The 21454-nt window shown below is 41.5% G+C and overlaps 2 protein-coding genes and 1 long non-coding RNA gene across 4 annotated transcripts, besides 1 other annotated feature; 2 read left to right on the top strand and 1 right to left on the bottom strand.

Annotated features, from left to right (window-relative positions):
• BHLHE22 (basic helix-loop-helix family member e22) lies at positions 1900–5162 on the bottom strand. The gene has a single exon (NM_152414.5). The coding sequence runs from the start codon at positions 4734–4736 to the stop codon at positions 3591–3593; it is 1146 nt and encodes a 381-aa protein (NP_689627.1). The 5' UTR covers positions 4737–5162; the 3' UTR covers positions 1900–3590.
• On the top strand, positions 3635–11219 carry BHLHE22-AS1 (BHLHE22 antisense RNA 1). 2 transcript variants are annotated; one of them, NR_152770.1, is made up of 2 exons: positions 3635–3809; positions 8899–11219. It is a non-coding gene; the product is annotated as a BHLHE22 antisense RNA 1 (long non-coding RNA). The 2 variants fall into 2 exon arrangements; NR_015374.2 differs by lacking the exon at positions 3635–3809 and adding an exon at positions 8264–8644.
• Positions 4295–4374: an enhancer, noted in NCBI's record as "active region_27455". NCBI's record gives its function as "activates an Ori minimal core promoter by ATAC-STARR-seq in GM12878 lymphoblastoid cells {active_cell/tissue: GM12878}" and the evidence as "EXISTENCE:reporter gene assay evidence [ECO:0000049][PMID:35858748]".
• Positions 5515–11219, top strand: LOC124900252 (uncharacterized). Its single transcript, XM_047422518.1, has 2 exons — positions 5515–7605; positions 7851–11219. The coding sequence occupies exons 1-2, from the start codon at positions 7358–7360 to the stop codon at positions 8206–8208; spliced, it is 606 nt and encodes a 201-aa protein (XP_047278474.1). The 5' UTR covers positions 5515–7357; the 3' UTR covers positions 8209–11219.
• Positions 11220–21454: the final 10235 nt, after the last annotated feature.

Below are 21454 nucleotides of genomic sequence, written 5' to 3'. Positions count from 1 at the left end.
AGGCCAAAACTCAGGGCTCAGACCCCAGAAAGAAAGTAGCTCTAGGGCTTTATCAGGAGTGGAAAGTGTTGTCCCTCCAATCACTGGCTTCCTTTTCTTAAAGCTGCTGCTGAAAACCCTTTAGAAAGGTTGGAGTTAGGGCAGGGAGGATCACCTAACTAAACCACAGAAAACTCCTCTCCTGTTTCTTTCAGATGTCCCATGTTAATTGCTAAAACCACAGGCTGGCCAATTCCTAGGTTTGGAAAGAGGGTTGATTTGTCTAAAATTATCAAAATGAAAATAAATGTTAATAAGCCTAATACACTAAATAATTATGCCTATTCATGTGACATTTGAATTTATTCTCAATATCTTCCTATCCCCACCCCCATCCAAGTCTCCTTCAGGACTAAGATTGAAAGCTGAGTGGTTAAAGAGAGGAGGATTCTCATTTCTTTATTTTTTCCCTAAAGTTCAAGATGTGTTCTTCTGTACAATTTTTAATAATAGTTGAACAGTACAAAGGTTGCAAAGGAAGTATTTCAAGAAGGCCTTCTAATAATGAGAAATATTAAGCATTAAATCTTGCAGCAAATGTGTCCCCTACAATGTTAATATGCAAAAGGAAAAAAAAAAATCTGACTGGTGGTGGCTGTGGCTAATTCCTAATCAGAATGATGGACAGCAGGGCCAGAACAATACAAACTAATGGCTGTGTTGCTGATCACTTTACCCCTTGATTAAAGACACCCAATTATGGCGCAGAACAGTGTCGTAATTATGTTTCTTAATCACATCCAGGAGGTTTAATTGCCTTAACGATGTGTTTCATTAAATGAATTTAGGTATTATAGTCGACAGTTTTCATACACAGTTGTTTTCAAATTAACATAATATTAGACATCGTCATGGAAATTGTTTTAATAATCATAATTAGACGCACCCAGGCTTTGTCTGGTAAATGCTGAGAGACAGGTCGGCTCCTGCCTGGGGGCTGCCCTGGTCTCCTCCCTCCTTCTGCCCTCACTCCCAGTCTGGGAGGGCTCCAGCTTCAAGGCCCTTTGCAGTTATGTTTTCTGAAAAGTTACAAGTTCTGATTAATCTTTTTTGATGGCAAGTGGAGTAGAAAATATCCTTCCTCACCCCCCACTAAGTTTGATGGCATTTAGGGATATCTTTATGAGCAGAGGCTGTATAGAAAAAAATGCATTTAGCATACTGGGTACAGAGGAAACATCTAACTTCTGCACCACCACCACTACTATCTCTGCAACCTGTGCCACAGTAAAAAATCACACCTTCTATATTTGAGGGCAATATAAAGGTCAAAATACAAGTCTCGACAGTCATTCTTTAACAGAATCAAAGCCTAAATCCAAACACGGAACCTAAAAATCTCATCATCAAGCAACACTAGTAAAATTCTGATCATCTCTATGGGCATTGTGTATGCTTATATGATTCAAGTTAATTCTTTTTATCACAAAAAAGTAGAAAGTCACAGTGAAATCAGTGCTCAGAGAATCCAAGTCCATTTTTTTTCCTTGCCCTTCACGCATTTGGAGGTAGAAATTTTGATGACAAACTCTTAAGAAACTTTACCCTCTTTGACGGGCCCTGGCATGGTTAACAGTGCCATACAAGTGGAAAAAGATTTCCAGGGAGAATGTGGCCTTCAAAGTTCATGCCAGTAGCCAGAAACTTGGAATCTCTTCTGGGTTTCACCACTGACCCCATTCATCTCTCCTCCTTGTAACAAGTAAACAAGTAAATTAGGGCTACTTCTAATTGTGCATCCCTGCAAAAACTTTAGTTCCACCTTCTCTGAAACTCCTTTCTTTTTTGTTACCTTTCAAGCAAAGAGTAACACAGAAGAGAGGTGATTGCTTCTTCCACAAAGCACAGCATAATAAAATGTTTGATCAAAATATTTTAATAAAGATTCTTTCTGACATAGATACACATACAAATGGTCGTACATAGCTGTCATAGTCTGATTGACCTATTTAATATATATATCATTCTTTACACATCCAAAACCCGCCAACAGATCCATCACAGCTCCCAACTCACCATCCAACCTGACAAACTGAATTTGTATTATCTGCAAGGAGTGGAAAATAGCAGGACTCCATTTTTAAAAAAGATTTTCTTGATTTTCATAGGGCGGAAAGGCAGTCAAACAGCCATGCAAAACTAAAACTGAAAGCTCACTTTGGGTAAATAGCTTCTTGTTCTTCCTTAGTTTTCTTTCTTTTTAAATTTTATTTTTTTAGAAAAATAACAAAGGATTTCACACCATAGGCAAATCAAACCAGTCTTTTAACTTAAATAATTCTCCACAGTTAAAATAACATATATGTACATATATATTAAAAGCAATTAAATTAGACCTTTTAAAAATGCACAGCACAGCCTGGAAAAATATTTGCTTAGCATGTTCTTACGTATAGCAACTATTGCTGTGATGTTTTTCCCTTTTGGAATGTAAAGGAGTCCCCTTTCAAAAAAGAGATCAATTCATTCATCAATTAAGAATACACCTTTCCTGTAATTTTTGGACTGAAGCAATTTATTAAAGCTCAATTTAAATACAGGGATGATGCAACTGAAAATATCCAGGTGACCTTTCATAAACCTAAGCAGCTCAGATACATCAATATTTCTCTTCATACTTGTTGGCAAATAAACCTTTAAACACTTGGCACACAGCATAAGTAATCTATAAAACAATTTTAGAGGCATTAAAAAAATCTGCACATAAGACCCATGACTTTAACACATGATAAATACTGTTGATGTGGAAGGGTCATTGAAGAATAACAAATAAATACCATGAATTGTTAATACATCATTGCAGAGTAGAAAGTAACAAGGTGCACATAAATATTTTTAAATGCAATTCTTTCAGCCACAGTCAGTTTTTTTATATCACTCTCGCCAAAACTTTGAGCATTTTCACAGGATTAAAGTTCAGAGACAATAAAAAATACAAGTCTTTCATAGTAACATGTCTCTCTCTCTCGCTCTCTCTCTCTCTCTGGGTTTTATTTCCCCCTCACTTAAGTCAACATTTCAAGTTTTTCTCCTGGCTCAGAATCAAAATTTATTTTCAAGTGCCCTTTCTGATTTGTCTGAATGAATATTCCATCTCTCATGCTACCCAACCCCTAACCCCTCCTCTCCCCCTCAGCACTAGCCAAATCCACAATTATTAGTAGGATTAGTATTTTGCCATTCAAACACTCTCCAGGCTTAATAACCAAGCACTACTTCTCAACTTATGTTTCACCTTTAAGGAAGATTCCACTTCCTCGCGGTCTAGGCTGCCACCAAAGTTGCCACTTTTCTGAGAAAAAAAAGACATCCATACTCCATCCCAACTCCACCTCCCTCCTCCCTCCCTCCCCACCCCAAAGACCGAGATTCTGGGGATGTCAAGGCTAAAAGTCCCGTTTGTCTCTGATACTTCTCCTCAGTTCTTGCCTCTGCTTTGTTTGCTCTGCAAGTGTTTCACAACTACGAGAGGACCAAAATAAAGGGGGTGGGGAGCAGCTTTTCGCTTTCCTCTAGATTTTGGGTCGGTCTTGTGTTTTTCGGGGGTGTGTTTAAGGCTTCTCCGTGCACTGTTTGCAGAGGCTGGAGGAGACGCTGTTAAACAGGGCGCACTTCTCCGGGCAGGAGGCAGCCGGGGGCAGTCCGGCGCTGAACGGGTAGCCGGCTGCCTGCTCGTAGGCGCCGAGCGCCGGGTGCAGGGCAGCAGCTGCTGCCGCTGCAGCCGCCGAGCTGGGCAGGGAGGCAGCCGAGATGGCCTGGCCCTGGTTGAGGTAGGCGACTAGGCGCCGCATCTCCTCCAGGGCCTGCGCCTGCATGAGGATGTAGTTCTTGGCGAGCAGCAGCGTGGCGATCTTGGAGAGCTTTCGCACCGAGGGGCTGTGCGCGTAGGGGATCACCGCGCGCAGCTCGTCCAGCGCGTCGTTCAGGTCGTGCATCCGCCGGCGCTCTCGGGCATTGATGTTAAGCCGCAGCGCCTTTTGCTCTTTGGATTTCTTGCTGCTGCTGCTGCTGCTGCTGCTGCTGCCGCCGCTGCCGCTACCGCTACCGCCACCGCCGCCACTGCTACCGCTGCTGCTACCCCCGCCGCCGCCGCCGCCCAGGCCCCCCGGGGGGACGCTGGCGCCGCCGTGGAGGTGGGCATTGGAGCAGCCCTCGGCTGCCTTCGCGCCACCACCTCCCGCTCCCGGGGAGGCCCGCGGGTCGGCTACTCCGGCCCGCAGCACGAGCTCGCAGCGACCGTCGCTGTCGTCGTCGGGGCTCTGCTCGCCGCCGCTGCTCTCGGCCACCGAGCCCCGGCTCGCGCTTTCGCCGTACTTGAGGCAAAGGGCGGCCCCGGCCGGCAGGCTGCTTAGGCTAGGGTCGCCCCCAACGCCGGCTGAACCTACTAGCAGCCCGGGGACACCCACCCCGCCGCCGCCGCCGCCGCCACTTCCCGCGCTGCCGCCGCCGCCTCCTCCAGGCGGCGGCAACAGCAGCCCTGCCCCCTCGGGGTCAGCCGGCTCGAAGCAGCCCAGGGGCGACGAGGAGGAGGACGCCGGGCGTTCCCGAGGCGGCGGCGCCAGGGACAGGTCCATGCCCGGGGGCGTGGAGCGGAAAGCCGCTTCCAAGCGCTTGGAGGTGGAGGCGCTCAGGCTCTTGTGCAGGAAGAGGTCGTCCTCGCCGGCGGCCGCTGCACCGAGGTGCATCCCGCGCTCCATGGTCCCGCGCCGGCGCGCAGCCCGGGCCGCCGCGCCCGCTGCCGCCGCCGCCGCCTCGGCCCCGGAGTCAGGCGGCCCCACAGACGCGCGCGAGCTGGGCTCCGGAGCTGGTGCGCGCGTCGGTCCTGGTGCTGCCGGGAGCCCTCTCCCCTTCTTTCTTTTTCTTTTTCGCCTTCCCCCGCGCTCGCCGCCTCCTCTTCTTCTTCTTCTTCGTCTCCAGCCGATGGTGCTGGCTGCTGGGGCTCACCATGGGCCGCGGCCCCGCATGGTGGGAGGGTGGGCGCGGAGGGAGTGGAGCCGCCGCCGCCGCCGCTCTGAGCCCAGCCCCGCGCCTCCTCTCCGCACCGTTTATCTTGCTTGGATTCACCTTCAAGAGATTTCCGGACCCATCAAACAGCCGCCGCCACAGACGGGGGAGTCTTTTACATCATTATCTCTGAGTAGGTTATTATGAAGAAGACTCGCCTGTTGGGACAGCGCTTTCTACCCAATCAGGTTAACGTTTTAATTAATAGGATTAAAACGGTAACAAACAATCGCAGGCGCTATCTGGCCGCAAGTCTGAATAGTTTCATTTCCCAGGTCTGAAGACAGGCAGCAGCTAGAGCTTTATAAAAGGCGCCTGCTCCATTATTCTGCCTGCCATCTGTATACACAGCTTAGCGCATATGTTTGCAAGGCGCTGGGTCCTGTTAGTAACCCAACAACTGCCTTTAGCTTGACATGTGTGGCGACTTTCACTCATCAATGAGCACACTAAAAGCCCTACTTAGAGCCGAGGATGTTCTTTGCTCCTTCAGCAAATTGTAGATCGGCGGCGAAGCCTGGGAGTCCTGTGGAAAGCAGACGCCCCCACCCACCGCACCCCACCCCCCACTGCCCTTCCCTCGCCACTGCTGTCTCAGCTTGTGCTAAATTACCCTTCCGGGCGAGAATTATACTCCACCCCTGTTCGTAGGATGACTGGTCTGGATTTGGGGATGGGACTTTCCGAGAGAAGGTGGTGTCCCAGCTGGCTTGCCCAAAATTCACTCTAGGTTTTCAGCTGGTCAGAGAGCAAAGCAGTCGTCCCCCCGAACACTCTGCCTCGTTTCCACACCCGCCACTGCCCATTTCCTACCCAGATTGGAAAAAAAGAAAGAAAAAAGCAAAATGAAGAGCAAGTGATCATGCAGCCCATTTTTTTTTAAGGTGGGGTGGCAGTGATTTTGCAGTGGTCTCCAAATAACTGTTACAGTGATGGTAATTGTGAAGTACACAATTTCCTAAACAGGAAGAAAACAAACAAACAAACCGGTTTCTCAAACTTTCCTTAAGATGAAAATCTGATTGCTTCAAAAGAGTCAACTTCACCAGGAGTCAAATCCGCTCCCACACGAAGTGAGGCATTTATGCATATTTATTTACCCGGAAGCCATTTAAGGACATCTGGATCAGCCTCGGTTGTTCTTGGAGGGTTCGGGAAGGGAGAATGTAAAAACAAGTGCTCCTCTCCGGATGGGCACTGGTACACGCGGTCATCTCACTCCTGAGTTCGGTCTCTGGGTACACATGGTATTTAGCAGCTGGTTTTCATCCTTATGACATAAGTAAAAACAATATTTCCCAACACCTTCCAATAACTCTTTCTTATATGGCAGAAGTACTGAAGACTATGCAATTTTTGGTTTCTCTGGTTTCATTAAAAACCTTTTAATTGTGGCTTTCGGAGTTGGCCCCAGGTGTTGGACTCTTTTCATTACATTTTGCTCTAATGTGATGAAATTCTAATTCTCTCCTTACCATATGGTTAAATTTCCCCACTGAGAATTAGTTGAAAAAGGAGAAATAATCTATTAATCTCTGTAATAGATTCACAAATGAGGTTCGCCACAGAACCTGTTTTTGAATGGTAATATCAGAACAGTTGGGCACCTTATTTCATAAAGGAAGGGTGAGGGCGACACAAAAATGTCTGTATTTTCACCTGGAAAGGATGAAAGGGGCTCAGCAGTATCTTCCATAATAATTCCCTGAGATCCAGTCTTCCGGGGACAGAAATACTACGTAGACGTCGGTTACCTACGCTCCTTTGGATGTCCTGGAACCTAAAGACTGAGAAAGATCAGGCGGGGCTACGGGAGGCTCTTGTGCCTGGGACCGAGACCGGGGGTTCTGCAGGCTTGAGCGGTCCCACTTGTCTCGTCTGGGACCCCGAGGCTGTTTACATGCAGGGCAGCCCCTCGCTCACCGCACCCCTCCCACCGTCCCTCCCCCGGCGTTCGCAGCTGTTAACCTCTCCCTTTAGAAAGCTAAAGACACGCTAGTGTTATTGTTTTTCAATTAGCAGCTTTGTTTTCACTGGGATCATAAACAAAGGTTCTCTCTAAACATAGGTGGGTCGTGTATGCATGACACTAACTTATCAAAGTCCTTGGGTCACTTTCGGGAGGGCGGAGGCTGGCCCGGTCGTGGCTCTGGGCAGGATGGGGACACATCTCACAATGTCTGACTTAGTTCTCCAGCCAGCTTGCCCTTTTTGTGGGCTGCCACCTTCTGCGGGGCGCCAGGATTCTTGCCGGCCCGAAGTGGACATTTGAAGGGCGAAGGATCGATCATGTCAGGGACTGGTGGGGGGTGCCATGCGGGGCTGTGAGCGGCAGAGCCGGGATGGCAGAGCAGGGGCGACACTGAGGGCGGCAAAGGCCCTGCCAGCTCAGCTAGACCCAGGATCTTCGCAGGACCTTTGTCTTTCGCCCTTAGGCAACAAACACTTGAGCGCATCTCGTGGCCCTTCCCGACCCCATCTCCACGACCTCCTGCCACCTCCCTCCTCTCCCTGGCCATCCAAGCTTCTGGAACAAACTTTTGCACAACTTCATTTTACTCGGTAGGAGCCAAAAGCCTCTTCCTTTTGTAATTCAAGAAAATCCCCCTAGTCTTCCCGGAGGAGGTGGCTGCTTAATAGTCGCTGAAAACTTTGCTTTGGGAAAAGGCCGAAGAATTTATGGAAGCTCTAAATACCGGCCTTATAACAACCGATAGGGAATGGTCTTTGAGGTTTATGCACTCGTAAACTTTTGCTGATTGCTTCTGGGAAGTTGTCAGGCACTTAACACTGCATTTATCTTACAGGGCAATGAAAACACATCTGCCCGGTGTCTCGTTACTTGGTTTAATCGTCGCCAGCCCTAAGTCACGGCCTCGGCTCCCTCTCCTCAACTGTGTGGGATCCCGCCGCCTGGTTTCGGCCGGGCGGAGGGGTGACGTCAGCCGCTCACACAGTGCCCCCTGGCCGCTGGAGCTCGGGAAATCTGTGCGCTCGAACTTGGCTCCGCCAAGAAGCTGGGCAAGGATCCGGGCTCCTGATGGAACTGGCAAGTTGGAAAAGTGGCAAAGGAAAAGCCAACATGAGCGCTTTCGGCTTGCGCGGGCAGAAAGGGTGGGAAATCAGGCCACGGCGAAATCTTCTGACTCACAGATGACCGCTTAGAATGAAAACTACGGAAGGGAAGTCCTCTGACTCTGCAGTTTCACAGAGAGTCACTGAGTTACCAAAGCAGTTGGGAAACAGAGGCAGAGGACTGCCCCCACTCTGTCCGCAGCAGGGGTATGGGAGGCAGCTCGGGACACTCCAGGGACCAAGCGGGCAGTGGGCGCCGTCCCCGAGGAACACCCAGCCCAGCGCCCCTGGTTCTGGGCTGGTTGGCTTATCGAGGCCGGTTGGCCAAAGCATCAGGAAAGGGAACATTCTCGGCCGGGTGTTGGATACCAAATTATAAACGCCAGAGCACCTTGTGTAAAGATGAATATCGTTTTGTTACTGCGGGAGGGAATACACCTACTGCTTTGAAAGGAGTTTAAAATATTCAGCAGACAGCACCGCATTGAAATTAGTGCATTGAGCTGCAGACCAAACTAATTTCTAGGTACTATTTAAATTTCTTAATGATCATCTTGATATTTGCTTGAAATTTGAGATAGGAACCCAAGTAAAATCAGAATGGAACATAATCTACTCTAAAGAGTAAAGCCAGAAGTTCGTCTTTGTTATTTTTATAGTACTGATAAATAGTTTATTACTTCACTAGTTTGAAAAGTTACAAGTCTGAATTTGGGTAGCTATGTGTATCTTCTGAGAAGGAAAATTGTCTCTCTGTGTTTTTCAATTTATCTCTTTCAGAACAGTCTAAAAAGTAAAAACAAAGTTTGGCAAAAATGACAACTTTGCTTGAGAACAGCTCTGGAAAAGCGAATCCACTGAGAGCCGTGGGAATTCTCCGCCAGCTGTGCTTCCCCAACCGAGGAAGAATCCAACCCGGAATATCGTTTCTGGACCCCACCGCGGAGACCCCAGCTGGACCCTCTCCTGAAAACTGCCCGGGGAGGGGGGTGCGGTCTCAGCGCCCTCCACTGCGGGGTCCAAGGCGCAGTAGCGGGGCGCGACCCCAGCGCTCCAAGCCCAGCATTCTTGGCAGCTCTCCAGGCCCCAGTCAGAGGCACATTGACCTTGAAGTTGCACTTGACTCGCCCACTCGGGGCTGCCTGGTGGCGCCTGGGTCAGCTTGAAACCCACGCAGCTGAGGGAGCTAGGTGTGGGGTTCACCATACTGCGCCCCCGCCGGATTTGGGAGCGCGGGATCTACTCGGAGGCAGAGAGATTAGCCCCAGAGGTCAAGCCTTTCGGCGTCGTTTTGTCATCTGTATTTTCTCGTCCCCTTCGCCGCCGAGTCCTACAAAGCTCACTTCAGAGAGACTGGGTCCACATGTGTGGGCTCATGAGGAGGAGGACAGCGAGGGTGACGACGCTGGGGGACTAGCGCGAGCTGGCGCATTCCTGGCAGTGAGCCAAGGGCCCCCCGTCTTGCTAGTCTTTCCAAGTTGCTTGGCAATTCCAAAAATTTCGACTGTGGGAAAGTTGAAACTTGTTCGTATAGCGTTCTTTCGAAAAGATTTTCCTTGTCTGTATCTATTTTACAGAAAACATACTGGTCCTCACTACTGTTTGGGGACGAGTTAGCCTAAATTTGAACAGACCTTGAAGACAAACCCTGAGCCCCGGGAGGCAGCCTTCTCAGCGCGAGGTGCACACACAAGTCCCCGAGCCCACCGCGAGGGTCTCACCTGGCTCCTGCGTGGTCTTTCCCCACTTTGGCGACTTTGAAGGCCAGGGGGACCGTACAGTGAGCGAATAACTTAGCGCCTGCATTATCACTGCTGAAACCTCAGAGAACAATGTAGGACATGCGGGTGCAGGTAGAGCAAAACTAGTGAAAAGAGTTTATGAGGAATTCATACCGCCTCGCCTACTTGGGACAACTCCTTCATTCAGTTGTCCTCCCTAGGGGGCTGTTATGCTTATTTGTGTCAGACCCTTCTTTCCCCTGGAATCTTATCATCACAGAATATTAAACATTTGAAAAAATTTTAAAGATTAAACTTGTTCGAGGAAAAAATGGTAAACACTGTTAGGGATTGCCTGGCGTGCACAAATTAAGGAAAGAAAGAAACTGAAAATTTCAGCGCGGCTTTGGGAATTTTTAGCTTTGCGATTTAAAACCCACAGCGCCATCTCCTGGTAATGAGGAGAATATAGCGATGGATGACAATACTGAAATGCTGACTATGAAATACTCAAATATGAGAAACGCCTCAAAAATTATTTCAGTGATAGGTTGATTATGATTACAAAATATGATCTGACATGGACATTTATTATCATTAAAAGTTATCAGACACAATCCTGGAAGCTAATTATTTGTAAATAGAAGTTTGTATATTTATACATACATGTATTTTATAGATTCAGACGCTTATGCTGTGAATTTACAAGATATGATTCTATAATTTATCATAAATACATAATTTTACAAAACAGTTCCCTGTTTTACTTTTTGTGAATGATTTTACCATATATGGTAGAAAAAGAATAATAGGATGTGGTGATCTATGGAGACATAAAATCTTCTAGATCCTCATTGTATTTTACTAGTCAACATTAATAAATACTTTAGCCCCATTGTCTCAATAACTTCTCACTTTATCTATGTCTTCTCATCATGCAATCTTACAGAATGTCTTACTGTCTTAATGTTAAGACATCATGACAAAAATGTGTTAACATTATTCAGACATTCTGATCCTGAAATATCATCTGAAGTTAAATTATTTTCCAAAAGTTTAATGCACATAATAGAATCATAAATACTTAATACTTTTCTATTAAAATGTTTCTGAAGTATTCTTTCAAGCTTTTCTCCCTTTTATAAATAAGATTGAAACACACTAAAATTTAGAGATGATATCCCTATTAAAAACATTTCTCCTCTATGATTGTATACACAGGCCAGCTGCTTGAAATAAAAATAAAAGTAGATATGCTTTTTGTAGTGTACAAAATATTATGAATATCCTTCAAAATTGTAGATCAAACAGACAAATGTAAACTTCAGTTGAAAGATTCATTTTATTTGATTAATTAAAGTGAAGATCTATTAAGCCAAATATTTGGACTCATTTATTTTGTCAATGTAAGAGTTCCTGTTTGAAAGAAAGTTGATTATATATAGGAGGAACTAGATAAACAGATGGTTATCTAGAGAGCTTTTCACAGTTACATTTTGAAATTTAACATGGATACGTTTGATATCTTCTCAAACATCTTTGATGAGGTCATTTGATCTCTTCTAGCAATGCGGTATTGTTGCACATCATCATTTTAACTTATGTTTAAGAAAGATTTAACTTGCTTTTTATTTCATTTGGCTGAAAACTGTACTGATTGAATTGTCCACGAGGGAAATACACACACGCGCGCACACACAAGCATGTATATATATATGTATACCTATATATACGTGTGCTATATTTACACAGTAATAAGTAAGTCTTGTGAAAAGGAAATCAACAGCTGCAAGGAATCATGACAAGAGTGTCTTAACATACAAATAACATTTCTCTAATGAAATGTTTCATCCAGTTACCTGAAGGCAGGCATCATTGGCTTCCAATGGTGTTGGCAGACAAACCAAGCTGCCTGTCTATTGCAGTACGGTGCCCACATGGAGAATGGACATTATCACTTGGGTGGCATGGAGGCATTAAAGTTAATCTTAAAAGTAATTTAAGAGCCTTTTGGGCTTTAGGTACTTGTGAGAAAAAAAAATCTCCCACTCCCTCCATGGGTGAAAAGTTGAGATTTTCCCAGAAAGATTGTTTTGCAATACATGTACTTAAACATTCTTACTCGCTTGAGTTGCTTCCCATGTTTTCAAGAAGAATGCTCATGGGGGAAAAGGGCAGGGGAAGGAATAAAGGAAGGATGAAAGGAAGGCAGGCAGAGGAAAAGTAAGTATGTCGACTTGAGGCCAAATAATGTATTTCATGTGTTTACTGAATGTGGAAATTATTTGTCTAATAAAGATACTGTTTGCTTTTCTTTTATAAAAAAGTTTTTGAGGTACAATTTTTACATATTTCCAAACCTGATTGCACTTCTCTGTGAATTGCTTTAAATGGTTGGAGTAGGTATAGTAGAAATAAAAGATCCCCAGCAGAGTATGTAATCTTGGGCAATTTCTTTGGTTCTACTTAGCCTCGGGAGGAGAATGAATCTATTAATCACACTTTTCCTGACTACTTCAGGGTACCTGAGGGTATTAATCAAATAAGACTATGGGAAAGCACTGTGTAAACACTAAAATGATATGTGAATTTAGCATCAACACTTTATTATGCTTTTTTTTGTATTTCATCTAAACCAGTTCAGTCACCTTTCATTATCATTGTTGGTTTGTAATTTATTTACTTTTTCTATCACAACTTTCAGGTAGTGGCAGATTTTAGAGCATCTTCCCTTGCTTGGGCCATGTCTGAGGGTCATGGGAGTAGGAGCCATAGCTGTTTTGACTTTTATTTCCACATCCACAGTGCCCTCACCCACCACTGCCTCACCTTTCTCTGGCTAGGAGTATCCCTATTGCTCTTCCTGCAGAGTCTTAAACTGAATGCATTTGTCTCTAGTCTGTTACACAGTGGTCACCATAAGTGCGAATTGACTGAACTAATTTTATGTGTATAGAGAAATGATCATGGGGTTGGCTCCAAGTCAGTTATTATTTGGATATCCTACTAGGGTTCTATCCTTCACAGCAATCTTCTATTATAATGCGTTCAGGTGTGTAGAGTGCACTTTTTCTTTTAGTGACATTTCTTAAATGAATAATTACTTCATTTATCTTTATTCTTTCCAGATTATTAATATAAAAGCTTTGTGAATCCAGATCTATCATTGATCTTAGTGTGATATTTGTTTCTTCTTCCCTATGGCTAGATGCATCAATGCTATTATTATTTTCGTTGTTTATGATCTATCAGGCAGTTTTCAATTCAGATGACAGTGTTCACCTTGAAGAAGCCAATTTGAATTAATTTTTCTATGAAAGATTGATGGAGACACTGTATGTCAAAGGTCTAAATTTATTACACATCTTGCTCTCCCTCCACTAATTTAGTTTTTTTTTTTTATCAAGAAAGGTAATCAGGTTTGTCTGAATTATTTTTTCTTTTTAAATCTCAGCTATTTATTGACCCAGGTTTCATTATTCTGCAAGTGCTTGAAGATAATTTCTACTTAAATTTTGTTCTCTTACTAAAATCAAAGTTAAATCAGTTCTGTGTGGATTGAGATATACGTTTTAAGTAATGAATCCATACATTACTATTTTTATAGAGACGGTTTTTATAGACTTAGAGTGGAAAGGCTTTCTAAGCAAGACAAAACCCAAGGAGTCACACAGGAAAAGGATGTCACATTTAAGTACACACAGAACAATTACAATTTCTGTTCTTTGAAGAAAAATACCACAAAGAAAGTTGAAGGACAAATGACCAACTGGGGGAAAAGAAACACATCAAACATACAAAGAGCTTCTACCAAACAACAAGAAACTCTTCACAAAAATAGAAAAATAATTTAATCTGGCAATTAGCAGAAAAAAAATAATTGTCCAAACAATGGATAAAAAGATGTTCAAGATCATTAATAAAAAGAAAATATGAATTAAGGTAGTTTTAAAAATAGGCCAAATTTTAAAAATATATGTGGAATTATAATGAAAATGGTTGTGGTAAAAATTAGTACAAAAACTGAGGGATGGTGATTTGGAGTCCAACATCTAAAAATCCACCCTACAGAAAGAATGGCATGAGTACATATAGATATATGTATGAAGATTTTCTTAAATGGCAGAAAATATGAACACCTAAATGTTCCTTAGTAAGCAAATGATTAAATAAGTTATGATGCCTCCATTCCATAAAAAGCTATTATAAAAAGAAAATGTGGTATATCTATATATACACTGACCTGGGAAACCATTTCTGATACATAATTAAGTTTAAAAGCAAGATGTAAAATATAACATGGTCATAATTGGTATTTTTTACAAAGAAGTGTGTGTCCCTTTCTGATGTTCAGGATGTTGAAAATAGGACATGGTGGGTCTTCTGGTGCAAAGTTCCTGATTTCCTGGGTCATTTGGTGGGAGGCGTGATCAACTGTGCAGACTGCATGGGATCCAGAAATCTGTATCTCATCACTGTGACGTGGGCATCGACAGGCGGCTGAGCCGACCTCCCGGCACTGCTGGCGGGGGAACCACGCCGATGGCCAGGGTCAGGGAAGGCAAACCAGAGCGCAGAGAGAAGGTGCCTCCAGCAGCCGAAATCCCACCGCGAAAGTATACCAGAGAAGAAATGGCACGTTTCTTATTTTGAAGATCACGTGGAGATCATAGCAAACAATAAAGGCCAGATGAATGGTTCTGCTATCCCAAGACCAGCCGTAACACAGATTAAAAAAAACCAAAACCGTTAAAATTATTTGCCACCGCTCCTCCCTATCTTATTTTTTGTGGGTGGATACATGCAGAAAAAAAAGTTACTGAACAATTATTTATAACTTTAATTACTGCTGGGAACTGAGATTTGAGGGTCAAGAGTGAGGTTTTTCATAAATTACTGTAAATACTTCCCCAAAGAAGTAGAGGGATTGTGGGCAACAGATATTTACTGTCTGTTTTGTATATATAGTTTTTTTTTTTTTTTTTAACAATTAAAGAAGCTTAAAGTAAAATATTAAATAAGTAAAAGTGTTAATATTTCGCCTGGGTCATTTGCTTCGTGATTCATTCTCTTCTCTATTTAAAAATATTGAAAGCAGTTTTCCTAATTTTAAATACTTGCACTCCGTAATTTTATCCCTCCTCCTCCAAATTCCATTGCCTATAACCATTTCCTTTCATGTTATTTGGGTTAAGAATTTGTTTTAAATTAATCATGACATTTATGAGCAATTTGTTTTGTTTTGACTTAACCACTGATATCAACCTTTCTTTACTAGTCATTTAAGTTTTGAAGAAAATTGATAACATTAAAAGGCAAGGTGATCATATTGCAAAATTAGTAACTTTATTGAATTCCAGTAGAGTAACTCAGTTTTACCTTGTAAATTAAGTCATTTTATGTTAATATTTTAGCATGATCACAGAACTGTTTTTTAAATAGCAGAGAAAATATAGATTTTTGTAGAGCAAGAATTCACACTTTGAGCTTTGAGAAAATGATTTTGGCATTTTATTTTACCCTTTTTATCTCTTTATGTGTGTATGTGTTTTAATTCGCTCAGTCTACGTCCTGGTTCAAAAGTGAAAGAACAATGGTTTTTGCTTTCGAGGTTACTAAAATTCACACTTTAATCTTTCAGGGACTGCTATTTTCCAGTCACACTCAGATGTCTGATTGTCAGCTTTATATCTCAGAAAGCATTCCCCGCAATTCAGGTACAGTAAAGTATCTAGCTCCAGCTAGCCTCTGTGTACTATATAACTTTTATAGTCATTATAAAAAATAATTTATTGAAAAAACTTAAACCTTTTCCAACTCAGGTGACTTTTGATTTAAATGTCTGTGATCTTGGTTATGGTAATCAGTTATGGTGGATTTTTTTTTTCTGAATTAAGTTTGCTGTTTATATTACAAAGTTTAGAAAATATGAAAGTAACAGCAACTCAAAGATAGCTGGTTAGAAAAAATGAAGACTCTGTAGCTCACATTTTACCATTACTTGCTTCAGATTCACATTTAATACAAGGCCTGGAGAAATTTCCTATTCTTTGTGTCATATTTTTCCTCTTCTATATATTTTTACTTTATTTGGACTGCTACATAGTAAAGTCTAAAATATAGTAAGCCTCACTCTGCTATGATTATTTATTAGAAACACTTTGTTAGGTGAAATTATGAGATGCAACTTAAGCTATTAACAGTAACATTAGACATTCAGAATAACAATTAATTATTAAAAGATTTTTAGAGGGTTACTTAAAAGTGATGGCATGGGTAACAAATCTCTGAATGCTTAACTGCTTAACCTCTGAAGACATAAACTCTCGATATATTGTGATCTGAATTTGAAGGAGCTGTGCTGACAATGTTATTTCCTATGCACACGAATGTAGCTGACAAGATCAATGTGTCCCCTGCAACCCTTAGATGCTCCAGCCAGGAATTGCATTTCTTGCTTGCAAGGTGTGTTTCACTACCTATGGGTTGCTTTGTTACCTAGACTTTGGGCATTAAAATGAAATCACTTCTTGCTCAAATGCAAATGCAAATAGCACCAAGCTATTTTTATATTTGCCAACTGAGCTATTCTGACTCGGACTGTGGTCAAAGCAATTAAGTCATCTTTCATCTGTGGGTAGTTTGATGTGCCAAGACCCAGAAATATCATTCGTGTTGATCATGCTACCATTTAAAAAAAAAGCAATTTGCATACTACTTAAGCTCAGAACAACTCTTCATTGTTTTTTGAGTTGTTCTTTGGTTTTTGTATTATCAAACAACCTATATTTTCTAGTTAAAAATGCTGATTCAGCTTTTTTCTTTTAAATGCATGGTCTTACTTTTTAATTTTTGAAAGATATAATGATACAGAATAAACTTGTTGAAAACAATCTCAGACTAAAGTGAAGAGGGAAGCTTTTCTCCCTTGTTTAGTGAATACAGGCACTTTTTGTGGAATCTGATGCTAATTAAGATATGATAACATGATTGTTATATATTGCAGTTTTAAAATCAATCTCTTCTGTCTGCTTCTAAGAATAATAAAAAACAAGAGAGCAAAACCTCTTCAAGGAGACACTGGAAGAGATCTGAAAGTTGCTAACTTGTTTAATAGGATATCTTAGATAACTGTGTGGAAAAAATGAATCCCTCACATTAAAAGAAGCCTCAAAAGAGGAAATGTATCACAGAGGCTAACAGATGACAATGTATCTTAGAAACTATTGATTATTAGTGAGTGTGACTCATAACAGAGGTGACAGTTTTGTACCATGGATAGGTTTGCAAAGGAAAAGAAAAAGCAGAGTGCTCCAGCAAGAATTCCTTCAGTTTATTTTTGAAGCATAACAGTCCTGCAAGGTGAAACTGCTTCAGGCCTCATTGTCAGGAGAAAATGTGATGCATGATTTTTATAAGAGTGAGCGCGAGTTGAAAACTCAGCTGAAGGAGAAGAATCAGGAAAAATCGTGCCCCTATGAAGCATGTCAGAGTAATTTTGTAACCTAAATTAAGGTAGGTAGTGACAAAATCTATTTAAATATTTCTACCATGCATCTATCTGTGCTAACTTGATTCTGTTCAGGGCAGTACAATTCAACTCAATTTGATGAAGAGCGATGCAGTAAATATTCAAGTCATCTATCTACAGGGCTATCTTCCTTTAAACCTTGAGTCTAATATTATTTCATTGGGAAACAGATATCTAATTAATGTTTTATTTGTGAATTCAGTTGTTTTTAAATAACAAAAAAATTTTTTTGAGGGTGATGTATTTATCACTGGAAAGCTCCAGATGCTACGGAGAGGAGCAATTGTGTTAATCCAGCTGAAGCTATTGAAGGTCCATACTACCCTAGGTAGTGCCACTGCCACCTAGTGGTAAATACCTGAATTTGTAGACGTGGTTCTAGCCATAGGCACACTGAGTATGTAGTTAATACCATATGATTTCACTAGCAACAGCCATTATATTAGATATAAAAAAATTTCTGCTAGTGATTGAATGCAGCAACATTTACTTTTTTCCGTACTTAAGGAAAGACACTTCCTTTTATCACAATCTCCCGTTCTTCTTCGCTCTATGTGCATTCCATTGCCCTTATAATTGCATATAGAGTTTACTTTAGAAAAGAGATAGAAAATAATCATAGACTGCTAAGCTTGTACATTTATTTGGAGGTTACAAAGACACTTATTGCAAAATGGGCTATTAAATAGACAAACAGGTATTCTTAAAATCTCATTTTATAATATAAAAATAGATTTTATGGATTTTCCATTTGCTCAAATGCATAACGTAATTTCAACACTTCACATCCTTGTAATTATTTAAGATTTTTATGGTTTTCTGGTGAATGCCTTTATATATCTTAGCTTTCTCTCTTTCACTGATTGTTATCTTTGTTTTTTAACACATCTGTAATCACATTTGAAATTTCATACTCATATTCAGATTTCATTTTATTTTCATTGAGATTTTATTTTAATTTGCGACTGTGAATAATTACACACTTTGTCTTATGCCTTAAAGACAGAAAACATACTTGCAGTCGTGTTCTGTGGACCCTACACAGGAACATGGATTGCTCCATTACTTGCCCATTCACATTCCAGAGCACTAGGTGAAATAAGGGAAACAGAATCAAATGTGATGTTCCTGGGAAAAATAGGAAATCAAGTGCATTGCTGGCTAAGCCTAGCATTTTCTTGCATTCCTATAGGAACTTTAAGAATTCATGGAACCTGCATTCTGGTTTTATTTTTCTCAATTAAATTGCATGAACCTTAGACAAGTCTTTTAACCTCTCTGAGCCTGTTTCTTTTTAATTTTTTAATTTTTATTTTATTTTACTTCAAATTCTGGGATACATGTGCAGAACATGCAGGTTTGTTACATAGGTATACATGTGCCATTGTGGTCTGCAACCTATCAACTCATCATTTAGTTGTTAAGCCCCACATGCGTTGGTTATTTGCCATAATGCTCTGCTTCCCCTTGCACACCCACCACAATTGGCACCAGAGTGTGTTGCTCCCCTCCCTGTGTCCATGTGTTCTCATTGTCCAACTCCCACTTATGAGTGAGAACATGCAGTGTTTGGTTTTCAGTTCCTGTGTTAGTTTGCTGAGAATGATGGTTTCCAGCTTCATCCATGTTCCTGCAAAGGGAATGAACTCATCCTTTTTTATGGCTGCATAGGATTCCATGGTGTATATGTGCCACATTTTTTTATCCGGTCTATCATTGATGGACATTTGGGTTGGTTCCAAGTCTTTGCTATTGTGAATAGTGCTGCAATAAACATATGTGTGCATGTGTCTTTATAGTAGAATAATTTATCTCCTTTGGGTATATACCCAGTAATGGGATTGCTGGGTCAAATGGTATTTCTAGTTCTAGATCCTTGAGGAATCCTCACACTGTCTTCCACAATGGTTGAACTAATTAACACTCCCATCAACAGTGTAAAAGCATGCCTATTTCTCCACATCCTCTCCAGCATCTGTTGTTTCCTGACTTTTTAATGATCACCATTCTAACTGGCATGAGATGGCATCGCATTGTGGTTTTGATTTGCATTTATCTAATGACCAGTGATGATGAGCTTTTTTTCATGTTTGTTGGTCACATAAATGTCTTTTTTGAGAAGTGTCTTTTTATATCCTTCACCCCACTTTTTGATGGGATTGTTTGTTTTTTTCTTGTAAATTTGTTTAAGTTCCTTGTAGATTCTGGATATTAACCCTTTGTCAGATGGATAGATTGCAAAAATTTTCTCCCATTCTGTAGGTTGCCTGTTCACTCTGATGATAGATTCTTTTGCTGTGCAGAAGCTCTTTAGTTTAATTTGATCACATTTGTCTATTTCATCTTTTGTTGCCATTGCTTTTGGTGTTTTAGTCATAGAAGTCTTTGCCCATGCCTATGTCCTGAATGGTATTGCCTAGGTTTTCTTCTAGGGTTTTTATGGTTTTAGGTCTCACATTTAAATCTTTACTCCATCTTGAGTTAATTTTTGTATAATGTGTAAGGAAGGGGTCAAGTTTCAGTTTTCTGCATATGGCTAGCCAGTTTTCCCAACACCATTTATTAAATAGGGAATCCTTTCCCCATTGCTTGTTTTTATAATGTTCATCAAAGATCAGATGGTTGTAGGTGTGTGGCATTATTTCTGAGGCCTCTGTTCTGTTCCATTGGTCTACATATCTATTTTGGTACCAGTACCATGCTGTTTTGGTTACTGTAGCCTTGTCGTATAGTTTGAAGTCAGGCAGTGTGATGCCTCCAGCTTTGTTCTTTTTGCTTAGTATTGTCTTGGAGAATTTCCCCAACCTTGCAAGACAGGTCAACATTCAAATTCAGGAAATACAGAGAACACCCCAAAGATACTCCTCAAGAAGAGCAACCCCAAGACATATAATCATCGGATTCACCAAGGTTGAAATGAAGGAAAAAATGTTGAGGGCAGCCAGAGAGAAAGGTCAGGTTACCCACAAAGGGAAGCCCATCAGACTCACAGTGGATCTCTCTGCAGAAACCCTACAAGCCAGGAGAAAGTGGGGGCCAATATTCAACATGCTTAAAGAAAAGAATTTTCAGCCCAGAATTTCATATCCAGCCAAACTAAGCTTCATAAGTGAAGGAGAAATAAAATCCTTTGCAGACAAGCAAATGCTGAGAGATTTTGTCACCACCAGGCCTGCCTTACAAGAGCTCCTGAAAGAAGCACTAGATATGGAAAGGAAAAATCAGTACCAGCCACTGCCAAAATATACCAAATTGTAAAGACCATAGATGCTATGAAGAAACTGCATCAACTAACGGGCAAAATAACCAGCTAGCATCATAATGACAGGATTAAATTCAAACATAACAATATTAACCTTAAATGTAAATGGGCTAAATGCCTCAATTAAAAGACACAGACTGGCAAATTGGATAAAGACTCAAGACCCATCAATGTGCTGTATTCAGGAGACCTATCTCACGTGCAAAGACACACATAGGCTCAAAATAAAGGGATGGAGGAAGATTTATCAAGCAAGTGGAAAGCAAAAAAAAGCAGGTGTCGCAATCCTAGTCTCTGATAAAACAGACTTTAAGCCAACAAAGATCAAAAGAGACAAAGAAGGGCATTACATAATGGTAAAGGGATCAATGCAACAAGAAGAGCTAACTATCCTAAATATATATGCACCCAATACAGGAGCACTCAGATTCATAAAGCAAGTTCTTAGTGACTTACAAAGAGACTTAGACTCTCACACAACAATAGTGGGAGACTTTAACACCCCACTGTCAATATTAGATCGATAAGACAGAAAATTAACAAAGATATCCAGGACTTGAACTCAGCTATGGACCAAGCAGACCTAATAGACATATACAGAACTCTCCATCCCAAATCTACAGAATATACTTTCTTCTCAGCACCACATCGCACTTATTCTAAAATTGACCACATAATTGGAAGTAAAACACTCATCAGCAAATGCAAAACAATGGAAGTCATAACAAACTGTCTCTCAGACCACAGTGCATTCAAATTAGAACTCAGGATTAAGAAACTCACTCAAAACAACACAACTACATGGAAACTGAAAAACTTGCT

This window comes from Homo sapiens, chromosome 8 (assembly GCF_000001405.40).
Source record: "Homo sapiens chromosome 8, GRCh38.p14 Primary Assembly".
NCBI classification, from domain to species: Eukaryota; Metazoa; Chordata; class Mammalia; order Primates; family Hominidae; genus Homo; species Homo sapiens.
Note: the sequence above shows the minus strand (reverse complement) of the source record. Positions and strands in the feature narration are given on the sequence as shown.